The 16,865-nt window shown below is 39.7% G+C and overlaps 1 protein-coding gene across 2 annotated transcripts in view; it reads right to left on the bottom strand.

Moving 5' to 3' along the window:
* The window catches only part of CPD (carboxypeptidase D), a 91,063-nt gene that overhangs the window by 46,285 nt on the left and 27,913 nt on the right, over positions 1-16,865 (bottom strand). For both annotated transcript variants that reach the window (NM_001304.5, NM_001199775.1), the window contains exons 3-6: positions 2,722-2,864; positions 1,872-2,041; positions 682-1,031; positions 8-199 (exon numbers count right to left, since the gene is read on the bottom strand). In NM_001304.5, the coding sequence (NP_001295.2) occupies positions 8-199; positions 682-1,031; positions 1,872-2,041; positions 2,722-2,864 (855 nt within the window). The remainder of the gene's footprint in view (positions 1-7; positions 200-681; positions 1,032-1,871; positions 2,042-2,721; positions 2,865-16,865) is intronic.

Below are 16,865 nucleotides of genomic sequence, written 5' to 3'. Positions count from 1 at the left end.
TCTTTACCTTCCTGGGACTTTTCATACCCATCAGGATTCATGGATGGCATAAGGTGAATTCTAGTGTTATGAACCAAATCTGTGACTTCAGGGTCTGTTCCAAAGTTCTTACAAAGGTATTCTATGAGGTTCAACAGCAGTTCTCTTCCAACCACTTCATTTCCATGCATATTTCCAATGTACTTAAATTCTGGTTCACCTGAAAACAAAATAATTACATGGAAGGCTTTTTTTCCTTCTTAATCATCATGGACTCAGTTTTTTTCCGCAACATATATAAATCCTATACTAAAAAATTTTTTAAACATGTATTTTGGCAAAGGAGGCAGAAAAAACCTTCAGAAACATCTTATAAAGCAGCTTCCTTACTAATACATATGTCTGAGCAGGCTCAAAGCATATATATGCTATATAATATAAATAAATAAAACACTATTAGCAGAATAAATCTAATCTATGCACTTATTAAATACCATGCCTAATATGGGTTAGCAAAAGGATTTCCTTCTCTTCTGGGAAAAGATTGGTTACATTTTCTTTTTTGCTTTCTTTTAATTTTAGTTAGGTTTTCTTAATGCCAGTTATACAAACTGTAGGCGACCTTTCTGAATGAAACATAGCAATATTGAACATGGCTTTGAGGGGCACTACTGAAATTATGTGTAAGACCATACCAATTACCTGGTTCATGGACACCCGGATTATCAGATATCTCCATCACATAAAGTTCTCTTGACTCTACTGATTTTCCCAAGGAATAAAGCCGGGTAATGTTAGGATATTCATTGGCAAACCTTCTCAAGAAGATTTCCATATCAGGGAAATGGTGGTGGTGAAAGTCCTTTGGCTGAATTGGCTGGTAGGAGGATGATGTTCCAGAAAGAATATTAGGTATAGCAACTGTGCTAGCAGTTGATACAGCCTCTGTCGTGTCAGGGATTACTGAAGTTACAGTTGGCCTAAGAGAAAAATCCACCTCTGTGGCTGGTCCTTCTTTCACCACTACATTAGTAACAGTCAATGGCATATACCTGAAAAAAAAATTTGAAAAAGTAAATGGTTTATAGTTAAGACATACAATGCTTTAATATTATAAAAGCACAGTAGCCTTTTCATCCTCTTACACTTAGCGATCTATCAAAACTCAAACTAAATAAAGAGAGATGTGTAAATTTAAGAGTTTTAGGACATTATCTCACAAAGAACCCCAGATTGAACAACTATTTCTCTCACCAAATCTTCTCAAGTACCACACACTAGAATGTATACCAAAAAAATTACACTCAAAGGAAAGAACATGTTGAAAGATGTGGTTGTTACTCCATTGTAACCACTGCTACAGTACTCAAAGAAGGGATAAATTACACAATTCTTTGCAGTGTCTTATCAAACTGACATTCCAACTTCTTTTTCAAGTAGGAAAGCTCAAGATTAAAGGTTATCAATTAAATCCTTATCAAAGTGAGCTTCCAGAAAGCTTTCCAGGGGAGGTGGGAAACCATTCATTTAATATATTAGAAAGCTGATAAGACAGTTCTTCAAAATGTCATTTACAGAGCAATGGGTTTCTTCTACTCTGGTATTCGGTTAGCTTTAAGGCAATGCTTTACACAGCTGAATATCTTTTCAAGTTTTAAAAATTGTCCTTCCTCTAATGCTACAACTATGCTTCACATCCCATTGTACTATTAGACTATGTGACAAAAAACTCCACAATAGTATTTTCTTATTATAAAACGAGAAAAATCAGAAAATAAGGAAAAATAAAAGCCACAAAAAATAAACAACATGTACTAGACTATATTTCTGTCTCAGATATAAAACAGAGACTTGACATTTTAACTAAGAGTCTACATAGTTTAAATTCTTACCCAGTTAAAACTACTGTAAGGTTGTAAGTTCCAGGAACAAGTAATCGGTAGAAATCACCAAATCTGCCTGTTGTGATATTATGATTAATACCAGCCACTGAGATGGTTGCATTCTCTAACCCAGATCCTGTTATGGAATCTTTAACAAATCCTTTCACTCCAATGTGAACCTAAGAAGACAAGAATCCAAGCTCAGAGACGGTGAATTTGGAAGGCAAGAGCGCATAATTTCTCTCTGCACCGATACTAGAATTTCTAAAAAATAAAGTGACTCTTCTCTCTCCCCCAAAACATTTTCAATCCCTTGAAGTTTAAATAAAATACAGACAGAAGTATTAAATCCTTAAACTTAAGTCATATGTCTGAACTCGACACTAGTAAGGTGCTTTTAAAATTCCCTCTCCTCAAAGCCAGATTTCTAATTTTCTCAACAAGGTGTAACTGCTGGTGTATTCAATTGCTGTATTAGTCTGGGTGATGTTTAAATTAAACTGATGTCTATGGTTCATATAGTGGTAAAGGCTCACTAGCAAATATGATCACATGACATTGTAAGAACCTGAGAGTACAAATTTGGCTAATTATTTCAGTTTGTATAAGTAAGTGTTCCAAGATAGGAAAAGGAAGCCCTATGGAGCAGAGAGCTGGGGGTAAGGGGCAGGGGAAGCAGAGCTAGAATATGTTTTAATAGATTATAATCTAATAATCTTTAAAGATAATTTATAATCTTAAGTAATAAAAAGAGATAAATGACATCTAATACTGTATAGATTATCATTCACATGCATCCAAATTTCTCCCTTATTTAATCCTGTTTCTATACCCCAACATTCCAGTCATCTACTTTTACCTTTTCAATCAATGTGATCAAAGACTCACGATTGTTCTCCCATTCCTGTCGAAGCTGTGAAGCAGGTGGGTACTTGCAACAAGACAGTTCTAATGTGATCTCAAAACAGTTGGCCCACACATAATTGTAATCTTGCATACCACCTGTAACATAGAAAAAATAAGTTTACTCTCAGAAGGAAAATAATTCTACCCTCCAAAAGACTGAAGAAATTAAATCAGCCATCTCTGGATGTATAAATTTTCTTTTCTTTTCATTAAATTGTTTGAAATTGGAGAAGGCATCTGAACTATAGTGGAGGCTAAGAAGGAAGATTAAAAGGAATATACATTGAAAAAGAATATATAGTGAAAAAATACATTTAATTAATAGGATGAGCAGTTATAAAAAGTATGAATATATCAGTTAATACCAGTAACAATAATAATAGCAGCTTTGTGTGTTTACTATACACCAGACCTGTTCTAAGAGCTTTATGTGTATTAGCATTTAATCTTTACAGCAATTATATGAGGCAGATACTACTATTTCATCCATTTTACAGATATGAAAAGTAGGGCACAAAGAAATTAAGATTTATAACAGAAAGAAAATAAAGGGTACACATCTCAAAGTTGTGAAGCATATTCATGCCGAAGCATTATTAAGTACCTACGATTCTAACTGTACTTGCCTTTATCAAGAAGGTGGCAAGAGCAAAAAGAAAAACTGTTATCTAGGGTGGCACAGCTACACAAATCAGGGGAAAATAAGACACAATAAATTCTTTCAAAATGTGTTAAACGGAAGATGGAACTTAAAAGGGACTAAGCATCCATGGTCTATCACCTTCACCATGTTTATACCTATATAAGCCCACACACTCATTTTGTTGACAGCCTATTACCCTATCATTCTTGTCACTTGATTTTCTCACATCTTGTTTTTAGTGGATAAAGACTAAAAAGTGGAGAAAGGAGCGGGTGTAACTTCTCTATGATCTCACCTTGCTCTTGGAAAGTACAAATGTGGATTTTAAGGGTCATCTTTCCTCAACCCCCAGTGCATCTCAGATGATGTCACACAGGATCCTTCAGATCAGGAGGGAGAATAACTGATGATCTGATTATTTTCATGTTCATCCATGTTAATTCAGCACTTACAAATAATGCCAAGCATTTGTTTCCCTTTCATTGACAGCACCAAAAGATATGCTTCCGTCATAGATTCTTCTGCCACTCACTCCCTTTGGCATTAACATGGGTCTTTATTTATTTATTTATATGCAAAGTGAATGTTAGATGATCACAAAAGACACTTCAAACCCTCGCATTCTATGATGTTTAAAAATACATGCTGATTTAGGCTGGGTGCAATGGCCCATGCCTGTAATCCTAGCACTTTGTGAGGTGGAGGCGGGCAGATTGCCTGAGCTCAGGAGTTTGAGACTAGTCTGGGCAACATGGTGAAACCCTGTCTCTACTAAAAATACAAAAAATTAGCTGGGTGTGGTGGCACGTGCCTGTAGTCCCAGCTACTCGGGAGGCTGAGGCAGAAGAATCGCTTGAACCCAGGAGGCAGAGGTTGCAGTTAGCAGAGATAGTGCCACTGCACTCCAGCCTGGGCAACAGAGTGCGACTCTGTCTCCAAAACAAAAACAAAAACATGCTGATTTGATTACAAGAGAAAAGGCAGGGAGAGAACATGAAAAACAGACAATTCTGAAACCTGTTTCTGGAGAAAGGTCAATGTCATAGTTTTAAGCACAGCTTATTAGGAGTTCATCAAAGAACCGGGGCTTACAAAACATTGAAGAAAAGCAAACAATACAGCAAAAATAACAAAACTTTGACAGAAATAAAATCGCAGCAATATTATTGGAGCCTAAACTCTTAATCTCATTTTTGCTGAAGTTTCATTATGTGCTTTGAAACACATCTAGTTCTTGAAATATGCACACCTTACCTAACGCAATATGCTCCATTTCACTGGCATATTTATAGGATAGATATTGGTAAGACAAAAAAGTTAGGTTAAGTGTACGCACCAAAAACTTGTAAAGAAGAAATTAGGCAAAGAACCTTTAAAAATCCAGGACTCCGTGAACTCTAACCAATGCCATTTTGAATAAGTACAAGGAAGAAAACTGAACACAATCCTGAAGTTACCCAAGCAGGATCACAAGGATACTTGTGACATGACATCTCATCTCAGGAGATGATCTGATTATATTCATGTTCATCCATGTTAATTCAGCACTTACAAATAACGCCAAGCGTTTTGTTTCCAATCAGAGGAGGGGACAACTACATCCATAAATAATTAAATATGATAGCAGAGGACAGTGGTGAATGTTGTACAGCAATGTAAATGTACTTAATGCAAGGGAATTGTACCCTTAAAAACAGTTACAATGGTAAATTTTATATTATGTATACTTTACCACAATTTAAAAAATGAAATAGGCTGGGAGAGGTGGCTCATGCCTGTAATCCTAACACTTTGGGAGGCTGAGGGCAGTACCTAGAATAGTGCCTGGCATATAGTAGGTGCTCAATAAATATTTTGGAAGCCTGGGCAGACTGCTTGAGCTCAGGAGTTTGAGACCAGCCTAGGCAACATAGCAAAACCCCATCTCTACAAAAAATACAAAAAAATTAGCTGGGCATGGTGGCACATGCCTGTCATCATAGCTACTCAGGAGGTTGAGGTGGGAGGATTGCTTAAGCTCAGGAGTTCAAGGCTGCAGTGAGCCAAGATTGCGCCACTGCACTCCAGTCTGGGTAACAAAGTAAGACCTATCTTGGAAAAAAAAAGAAAAAAATGATATTAATAATAGAGATATTATGGGTCTATGCCACTAATTTCAATTTTGGAGTTGAGGGAAGATCTATAAAGGCTTCTTGGGGAGGCAGTTTTTTAGTTATATCTTAAAGATAAAACTGTAAGTCAGCCAAAAGGAGCGGGGGTTCAGGAGCACTGCAGTCAGGGAAAATGGCTTTGTAAAGGTGGAGGCTGCTGGTGTATGTGACCACCAGCTATGAGGCTGATAAGGCCACAGAATGAGGGCAGCAGCACAGAGCTGCAGGGATGTCATGAATGGTGAGGCTGGAAAGGTAAGTAGGGTCTAAAGGAGGCTGAGGATAAAGTTTTCCGTGGCTTTCCAAAGCATAAAAAAAAATGGCATTTCATTTGTTAGTTTTGAACAGAAAAGTAGTATGATGAATAGAAGACAGTATGGTCTGGAAAGGCGTGGGGGATTGGAAGCAAAAAGCCCGGTTAGGCAGTTTCTTACAATGATACAAGTAAAAAGTAATTAGGCCTAAAATGATGTGGTAGCAACTCTGTGGAAGAGAAGGGAAAGATGTGAGACAAGATACTGACAGGATCTGATAGATAGTGGGAGTTGAGAGAAAGAAAGGAATCAAAGAGGACCTCTGGCCTGATCAATTGGGCTAATGATGATGCCATTAACAGAAAAAATAAGGTCTGTAAGAGTAATTGAGCAGAAAGGGGCATGTTGAATTTGAGGTATTTGTAGAATATTTAGACAGAAATACCCAAGAAGGAATTCAAAAAGACAGGTCTGGAGCTTGGGGAGAAGAGTAGTCCTTTTCAAGAAATGATCATTTAAGACTAGGAAGTTCAGTTTTCTTTCGGCAAATATTTATTGAGCACCTAGTATATGCCAGGCACTATTCTAGGTGCTTGGGGATATGGTGATGAACAAAACAGACAAGGTCCCTGCTTTCTCGTAACATTCTTTTAAAATTTAAAAACTTTAAATTCTAAAATATAAAAAACTTATAGAATTCTTACATAGGGGAAGCAGACAGTAAACAAATATAAATAAGAAAAATATCAGATAGTGAGAAGTGCTATGCAGAATTTTTTTTTTTTTTTGGAGACTGAGTCTCACTCTGTCACCAGGCTGGAGTGCAGTGGCGCGATCTCGGCTCACTGCAACCTCCACCTCCCAGGTTCAAGCAATTCTCCTGCCTCAACCTCCCGAGTACCTAGGACTACAGGCTCATGCCACCACACCCAGCTAATTTTCTGTATTTTTAGTAGAGACGGGGTTTCACCATGTTGGCCAGGCTGGTCTCCATCTCTTGACCTCGTGATCCACCCGCCTCAGCCTCCCAAAGTGCTGGGATTACAGGCGTGAGCCACCGCGCCCGGCCTAGAAAATTTAAGTAGAGTGATGTGATACAGCTAGTGATTGGTGGCAACTAGAGACTAGGTAGTTATAAAAAGCCTTCATGAGGAGGTAACATTAAGTCAAGATCTGAAAAACAAGATGCAGCTAGCCTGGTAAAAGTCAGCGGGAAGAACATTTCAAAGGCAGGGGGAAAAGTTTGGTAAGTGTAAGGAATAGAAAGAAAGCTACTGTGGCTGGACAATAACAGACAAAGGAAGAATGGCACAAGTTGAGGTCGAGGGATTCTGGCAAAACAACATCATAAACAGCTTTGGCAGCTAGGGCAAGAAGTTGGGGATTTTATTCTAAGTGCAGTAGGAACCACAGGAGGGATTTGGTTTTTGTTTTATTGTGCTAAAGAACACATAATACAAATTTCACCATATTAACCATTTTTACATGTACAGTACAATAGTGTTAACTATATCCACATTGCTGTGCAATAGAGCTCTAGAACATTTTCTTTTTTTTGAGACGGACTTTCGCTCTTGTTGCCCAGGCTGGAGTGCAATGGCTCAATCTCGGCTCACCGCAACCTCCGCCTCCCAGGTTCAAGCAATTCTCCTGCCTCAGCCTCCTGAGTAGCTGAGATTACAGGCATGCAGCACTACGCCCGGCTAATTTTGTATTTTTTTTAGTAGAGACAGGGTTTCCCCATGTTGAGGCTGGTCTCGAACTCCTGACCTCAGGTGATCCGCCCGCCTTGGCCTCCCAAAGTGCTGGGATTACAGGCGTGACCCACCGCACCCAGCCCTAGAACATTTTCATCTCGCAAAAAATGAAGCTCCATATCCATTATAAACAACTCCCCTTTTGCCACTCTCCCCGGCTCTTGGCAACCACCTTTCTACTTTCTGTTTCTAAGAGTTTGACTACTTCAGATACTTCATATAAGTGAAATCATGCAGTATTTTGTCTTTTTGGCTTATTTCACTTAGCATAATATCCCTAAGGTTCAGCCATGTTATAGCATATGATAGGATTCCCTTCTTTTTTAAGGCTGAATAAGATTCCATTTTTTGTATATACAAACTTTTCTTTATCCACTCATCTGTCAATTGACATTTAATTGCTTCCACCTCTTGGTAATTGTGAATAATGCTGCAATGAACATGGGTATGTGATGATTCATGATGTAGAGCATCTTTTCAATGTTTGTTGGCCATGTGTATATCTTCTTTAGAGAAATGTCCATTTAAGTCCTTTGCCCATTTTTAAATTAGATTATTTGTTTTTTATTGTTATGTTGTAGGAGTTCTTTGTATATTCTGGATATTAACCCCTTTTTAGGGGGTTAATATTTTATTAGAATATTTTATTCTAAGAAAAAAATATTTTTTTCCTTTCTGTAGGCTGCCTTTTCACTCTGTTTCACGTTGGACAATATTTCACAGTGATTTGTGAGTCAGAACATTCATTCACAATGTTTGCTGTGCAGAACACTGGCAGGCTTTGCACAGAGGTGTGATACAATTAGAATTACCTTCATTCTGTCAAGATCATTCTGACTGCTGGATGGAAAATGACTGTAGGGGGACAAATGGGGAAGCATGGAGATGTATTAGAAGATAATGGTGACTTGGACTAGGTTGGTGGTAGTGGAGACAAAGAGGACGGGTCTGGATGTAGAAGGAAGAAATCAAGGACGACTTCTAGATTTTAGGCTTGAGAAATCAGGGAGATAGTAGTGCCATTTACTGAAAAGATGAAAGAGAACAAAGGCAACAGAGGTGGCATCCCTAAGGTTCTGCCTTTGGTCCTCTTCTCTTACTACTTATTTCCTTGGTATAATGAAACTCATACAGTCCCGTGGTTTTAAACATGATCTACAGGGTGACAACCCTCAAATTTCTGTCCCCAGCCTAGATTTCTTCCCAGACTCCAGACTTGTACATCCAACTGCCTATTCAAAATCTTTACTTGGATATCACAAACTTAACATATCCAAAACTGAACTACTTATCTTCTCCAAACCTGCTCCACCCACAGTCTTTCCCACTGCAGTTAATGGCACTTTCATTCTTCTATTAAATAGTTGCTCAGGCAAAAAGCCTTGGATTCACATTTTATATCCAAAGTGTCAGAAAACCATGCCGACTCTAACTTCAAAATATGTTCAGAATCCAAAATATGTTCATCCTCATGTCCATTGCTGTGGCCCTGTACAAGCCACTGCCATTTCTCTGCATGTATTTCTGCAATCACTCTTTTTTTTTTTTTTCCGAGACAGTCTCGCTCTGTTACCCAGGCTGGAGTGCAGTGGTGTGATCTCAGCTCACTGCAAGCTCTGCCTCCCGGATTCATGCCATTCTCCTGCCTCAGCTTCCCGAGTAGCTGGGACTACAGGCGCCCGCCACCGTGCCCAGCTAATTTTTTGTATTTTTGTATTTTTAGTAGAGACGGGGTTTCACCATGTTGGCCAGGATGGTCTCGATCTCCTGACCCCGTGATCCACCCACCTTGGCCTCCCAAAGTGCTGGGATTACAGGCATGAGCCACTGCGCCCAGCCTCTGCAATTGCTCTTAACAGGTTCCCCTGTTCCTGCCCTTGCCGTTTTATATTCTTTACTCAACAGAGATGCCAGAGTAATTCTGTTAAAATGCAAGTCAGATGTTATTTCTCTGTTCAAAACAGTTCAGAGACTCCCCGTATTTCACTCAGACTAAAAGCCAAAGTCTTTTCAGTGGCCTAAGGCCCTGTATGATTTGATCCCCATCACCCAGCTTTCCTTCCTAAACCTCCTTTTATACTCTCTCCATCACTGGCTCTGCAGCAGACACATGGCCTCCTTGCTGTTCACGGGATACTCTAAGTACCTCCTGACTTTGCTCTACTTGTTCCCTTTGCTGGAATGCTCTTCCCCCGGATAACCTTACTACTTGACTAACTCCCTCAACCCCAGCTCTCTGCTCCAATTTCAACCTGACAATGGAGTCAGGTCATCCTGACCTCCCCAATTGAAGTTGCTACTTACATCTCTCCATCACTATCCCCAAGCCCATCCCACCAGCACTCCCAGTTCCTCTTACCCTTTTTCTACCTTGTTGCTTTTTCTACAACACTTAACAATTCACCTACTGTGTTTACTATCTACTGCCTGTTTCTCCCTGCCAGATTATAAACAACACAAGGGCAGAGATCTTTGTTATGCCCATTGATGGACATTCCAAGACTAAAACAGTACCTGCCACATAGTAGCCCTTCAATAAATATATGTTAAATGAATAAAAGGAGGTTGGAGCAATGGGAAATTAAGATGTTTGTTCTTAAAGCATTAAGTTTGAAATGCCCATTGAATATCCATATGGGGATGTCAAACAGACTTTGACTTCTCAGAATATTTGCAGGTTTATGACCACCATAAGCCTAGTAACTCGGTCTTAACCTTGTCTCCTAGGGCAAGGCAATCTTTTAGCTTTCTCTTATTCACCTTGAGTCTGGCAGGAAATGGGTAAGATGCTGATTTTCCTATCCCTACCAAGCCATATTTAGTCATTATGATATTAGTCACCTTTAGTCATTGCTGACCTATAATCATCTTTGGTAACTTTAACTTGTACATATACACGTAAACACACGTGCATTCATTGTCATAATATTTATTGAAAATCTTTTCCAATTTTTACTACTACATTGGTCACAATACAATGGTCGTTGTGTGTAAGGGATTATACTAAGACTATTGGGAATTATAAACAACAGATATACTTCCATCCAGAGTTTAGAGTCTTGGTGAGGAAGCAAAACAGAGAACACATAAAAATAACAATTTCAGTCACTTCCAAGATGGCCGAATAGGAACAGCTCCGGTCTGCAGCTCCCAGCAAGATCGACAAGATTGACACAGAAGAGGGGTAGATTTCTGCATTTCCAACTGAGATACCTGGTTCATCTCATTGGGACTGGTTGGACAGTGGGTGCAGCCCACGGAGGGCAAGTCGAAGCAGGGCAGGGCGTCACCTCAACTGGGAAGTGCAAGGGGTGGGGAGATTTCCCTTTCCTAGCCAAGGGAAGCCATGACAGACTGTACCTGGAAAAACAGTACTCTTTTGCCCAAATACTGTGCTTTTCCCATGGTCTTAGCAACCAGCAGACCAGAAGATTCCCTCCTGTGCCTGGCTCGGTGGGTCCCACACCCACGAAGCCTTATTCACTGCTACTGCAGCAGTCTGAGATCAACCTGCGAGGCTGCAGCCTCATGGCGGGAGGGGCGTCTGCCATTGCTGAGGCTTGAGTAGGTTAACAAAGCAGCTGGGAAGCTCGAACTAGGCAGAGCCCACCGTAGCTCAGCAAGGCCTACTGCCTCTATAGATTCCACCTCTGTGGGCAGGGCATAGCTGAAAAAAAGGCAGCAGACAACTTCTGCAAACTTAAACGTCCCTGACTGACAGCTCTGAAGAGAGCAGTGGTTCTCCCAGCATGGCATTCAAGCTCTGAGAATGAACAGACTGCCTCTTCAAGTGGGTCCCTGATCCCATGTAGACTGACTGGGAGACACCTCCCAGTAGGGGCCGACAGACACCTCATACAGGCAGGTGCCCCTCTGGGATGATGCTTCCAGAGGAAGGATCAGGCAGCAATATTTGCTGTTCTGCAATATTTGCTGTTCTGCAGCCTCCACTGGTGAGACCTAGGCAAACAGGGTCCGGAGTGGACCTCCAGCAAACTCCAACAGACCTGCAGCTGAGGGGCCTGTTAGAAGGAAAATTAACAAACAGGAAGGAATAGCATCAACATCAGCAAAAAGGACATCCACACCAAAACCCCATCTGTAGGTCACCAACATCAAAGACCAAAGGTAGATAAAACCACAAAGATAGGGAGAAACCAGGGCTGAAAAGCTGAAAATTCCAAAAACCAGAGCGCCTCTTCTCCTGAAAAGGATCGCAGCTCCTTGCCAGCAACGGAACAAAACTGGATGGAGAATGACTTTCACAAGCTGACAGAAGTAGGCTTCCGAAGGTTGGTAATAACAAACTTCTCCGAGCTAAAGAAACATGTTCTAACCCATCGCAAGGAAGCTAAAAACCTTGAAAAAAGGTTAGACGAATGGCTAACTAGAATAAACAGTGTAGAGAAGACCTTAAATGACCTGATGGAGCTGAAAACCACAGTACGAGAACTTCATGACGCATGCACAAGCTTCAATAGCCAATTCGATTAAGTGGAAGAAAGGCTATCGTGGTTGAAGATCAAATTAATGAAATAAAACGAGAAGACAAGATTAGAGAAAAAAGAGTAAAAAGAAACGAAAAAAGCCTCCAAGAAATATGGGACTATGTAAAAAAACCAAATCTACATTTGATTGGTGTACCTGAAAGTGACGGGGAGAATGGAACCAAGTTAGAAAACACTCTTCAGGATATTATCCAGGAGAACTTCTCCAACCTAGCAAGGCAGGCCAATATTCAAATTCAGGAAATATGGAGACCACCACAAAGATATTCCTCAAGAAGAGCAACTCCAAGACACATAATTGTCAGATTAACCAAGGTTGAAATGAAGGAAAAAATGTTAAAGGCAGCCAGAGAGAAAGGTCAGGTTACCCACAAAGGGAAGCCCATCGGACTAACAGCAGATCTCTCGTCAGAAACCCTACAAGCCAGAAGAGAGTGGGGGCCAATATTCAACATTCTTAAAAGAAAGAATTTTCAATCCAGAATTTCATATCCAGCCAAACTAAGCTTCGTAAGTGAAGGGCAAATCAAATCCTTTACAGACAAGCAAATGCTGAGAGATTTTGTCACCACCAGACCTGCCTTACAAGAGCTCCTAAAGGAAGCACTAAACATTGAAAAGAGCAACCAGTACCAGCCACCGCAAAAACATGCCAAATTGCAAAGACCATTCATGCTGTGAAGAAACTACATCAATTAACGGGCAAAATAACCAGCTAACATCATAATGACAGGATCAAATTCACACATAACAACATTAACCTTAAATGTAAATGGGCTAAATGCTCCAATTAAAAGACACAGACTGACAAACTGGATAAAGAGTCAAGACCCATCAGTGTGCTGTATTCAGGAAACCCATCTCATGTGCAGAGACACACATAGGCTCAAAATAAAGGGATGGAGGAAGATCTACCAAGCAAATGGAGAGCAAAAAAATGCATGGGTTGCAATCCTAGTCTCTAATAAAACAGACTTTAAACCAACAAAGATCAAAAGAGACAAAGAAGGCCATTACATAATGGTAAAGGGATCAATTCAACAAGAAGAGCTAACTATCCTAAATACATATGCATGCAATACAGGAGCACCCAGATTCATAAAGCAAGTCCTTAGAGACCTACAAAGAGACTTAGGCTCCCACACAATGATAATGGGAGACTTTAACACCCCACTATCAACATTAGACAGATCAATGAGACAGAAGGTTAACAAGGATATCCAGGAATTGAACTCAGCTCTGCACCAAGTGGACCTAATAGACATCTACAGAACTCTCCACTCCAAATCAACAGAATATACATTCTTCTCAGCATCATATCACACTTATGCGAAAATTGACCTCATAATTGGAAGTAAAACACTCCTCAACAAATATAAAAGAACAGAAATCACAACAAACTGTCTCTCGGGCCACAGTACAATCAAATTAGAACTCAGGATTAAGAAACTCACTCAAAACTACACAACTACATGGCAACTGAACAACCTACTCCTGAATGACTACTGGATAAATAACGAAATGAAGGCAGAAATAAAGATGTTCTTTGAAACCAATGAGATCAAATACACAACATACCAGAATCTCTAGGACACATTTAAAGCAGTGTGTAGAGGGAAATTTATAGCACTAAATGCCCACAAGAGAAAGCAGGAAAGAGCTAAAATTGACACCCTAACATCACAATTAAAAGAACTAGAGAAGCAAGAGCAAACACATTCAAAAGCTAGCAGAAGGCAAGAAATAACTAAAATCAGAGCAGAACTGAAGGAGATAGAGACATAAAAAACCATTCAAAAAAAATCAATGAATCCAGGAGCTGGTTTTTTGAAAAGATCAACAGAATTGATAGACTGCTAGCAAGACTAATAAAGAAGAAAAGAGAGAAGAATCAAATAGATGCAATAAAAAATGATAAAGGGGATATCACCACCGATCCCACAGAAATACAAACTACCATCAGAGAATACTATAAACCGCTCTACACAAATAAACTAGAAAATCTAGAAGAAATGGATAAATTTCCGGACACATACACCCTCCCAAGACTAAACCAGGAGGAAGTTGAATCTCTTAATAGACCAATAACAGGTTTTGAAATTGAGGCAATAATAGCCTACCAACCAAATAAAGTCCAGGAGCAGAGGGATTCACCGCTGAATTCTACCAGAGGTACAAAGAGGAGCTGGTACCATTCCTTCTGAAACTATTCCAATCAGTAGAAAAGGAGGGAATCCTCCCTAACTCATTTTATGAGGCCAGCATCATCCTGATAACCAAAGCCTGGCAGAGACACAACAAAAAAAGAGAATTTTAGACCAATATCCCTGATGAATGTCGATGCGAAAATCCTTAATAAAATAATGGAAAACCGAATCCAGAAGCACATCAAAAAGCTTATCCACCACGATCAAGTCAGCTTCATCCCTGGGATGCAAGGCTGTTTCAACATATGCAAATCAATAAATGTAATCCATCACATAAACACAACCAAATGACAAAAACCACATGATTATCTCAATAGATACTGAAAAGGCCTTAGACAAAATTCAACAGCCCTTCATGCTAAAAACTCTCAATAAACTAGGTATTGATGGAATGTATCTCAAAATAATAAGAGCTATTTATAACAAACCCACAGTCAGTATCATACTGAATGGGCAAGCATTCCCTTTGAAAACTGGCACAAGAATACTGTGCCAGTTTTTTTGAATACTGCAAGCATTCCCTTTGAAAACTGGCACAACACAAGGATGCCCTCTCTCACCACTCCTGTTCAACATAGTGTTGGAAGTTCTGGCCAGGGCAATCAGGCAAGAGAAAGAAATAAAGGGTATTCAACTAGGAAAAGAGGAACTCAAATTGTCCCTGTTTGCAGATGGCATGACTGTATATTTAGAAAACTCCATGGTCTCAGCCCCAAATCTCCTTAAGCTGATAAGCAACTTCAGCAAAGTCTCAGGATACAAAATCAATGTGCAAAAATCACAAGCATTCCTATACACCAATAACAGACATACAGAGAGCCAAATCATGAGTGAACTCCCATTCACAATTGCTACAAAGAGAATAAAATACCTAGGAATACAACTTACAAGGGATGTGAAAGACCTTTTCAAGGAGAACTACAAACCACTGCTCAATGAAATAAAAGAAGACACAAACAAATGGAAGAACATTCCATGCTCATGGATAGGAAGAATCAATATCGTGAAAATGGCCATACTGCCCAAGGTCATTTATAGATTCAATGCCATCCCCATCAAGCTACCAATTACTTTCTTCACAGAATTGGAAAAAACTACTTTAAACTTCATATGGAACCAAATAAGAGCCTGCATAGCCAAGACAATCCTAAGCAAAAAGAACAAAGCTGGAGGCATCATGCTACCTGACTTCAAACTATACTACAAGGCTACAGTCACCAAAATAGCATAGTACTGGTACCAAAACAGATACAGAACAGAACAGAGGCCTTAGAAATAACACCACACATCTACAACCATCTGATATTTGACAAACCTGACAAAAACAAGAAATGGGCAAAGGATTCCCTATTCAATAAATGGTGCTGGGAAAAGTGGGTAGCCATATGTAGGAAGCTGAAACTGGATCCCTTCCTTACACCTCATACAAAAATTAACTCAAGATGTTTTAAAGAATTAAACGTACGACCTAAAAGCATAAAAACCCTAGAAGAAAATCTAGGCAATACCATTGAGGACATAGGCATGGACAAAGACTTCATGACTAAAACACCAAAAGCAATGGCAACAAAAGCCAAAATAGACAAATGGGATCTAACTAAACTAAAGAGCTTCTGCACAGCAAAAGAAACTACCATCAGAGTGAACAGGCAACCTACAGAATGGGAGAAAATTTTTGCAATCTGCCCATCTGACAAAGGGCTAATATCCAGAATCTATAAAGAACTTAAACAAATTTACAAGAAAAAAACAAACAACCCCATCAAAAAGTGGGCAAAGGAAAGGAACAGACACTTCTCAAAAGAAGACATTTATGCAGCCAACAGACACAGGAAAAAATGCTCATCATCACTGGTCATCAGAGAAACGCAAATCAAAACCACAATGAGATACCATTTCATGCCAGTTAGAATGGCGATCATTAAAAAGTCAGGAAACAATAGATACTGGAGACGATGTAGAGAAACTGGAAAGCTTTTACACTGTTGGTGGGAGTGTAAATTAGTTCAACCATTGTGGAAGTCAGTGTGGCGATTCCTCAAGGATCTAGAACTAGAAATAACATTTGACCCAGCGATCCTATTACTGGGTATATACCCAAAGGATTATAAATCATGCTACTATAAAGACACATGCACATGTATGTTTATTGCGGCACTATTCACAATAGCAAAGACTTGGAACCAACCCAAGTGTCCATCAATGACAGACTGGATTAAGAAAATGTGCACATATACACCATGGAATACAATGCAGCCATAAAAAAGAATGAGTTCATGTCCTTTGCAGGGACATAGATGAAGCTGGAAACTACCACATTCTCAGCAAACTATCACAAGGACAGAAAACCAAACACCGTATGTTCTCACTCATAGGTGGGAATTGAACAATGAGAACACATGGACACAGGGCAGGGAACATCATACACCAGGACCTGTAGGCGGGTGGGGTACTGGGGGAGGGATAGCATTAGGAGAAATACCTAATGTAAATGATAAGCTGATGGGTGCAGCAAACCAACATGACACATGTATACCTATGTAACAAACCTGCACATTATGCACATGTACCCTAGAAC

The sequence above is a fragment of the Homo sapiens genome, chromosome 17 (genome assembly GCF_000001405.40).
Source record: "Homo sapiens chromosome 17, GRCh38.p14 Primary Assembly".
NCBI lineage: Eukaryota > Metazoa > Chordata > Mammalia > Primates > Hominidae > Homo > Homo sapiens.
The sequence above is the reverse complement of the archived record's forward strand: the minus strand, read 5'-3'. Positions and strand labels throughout refer to the sequence as shown.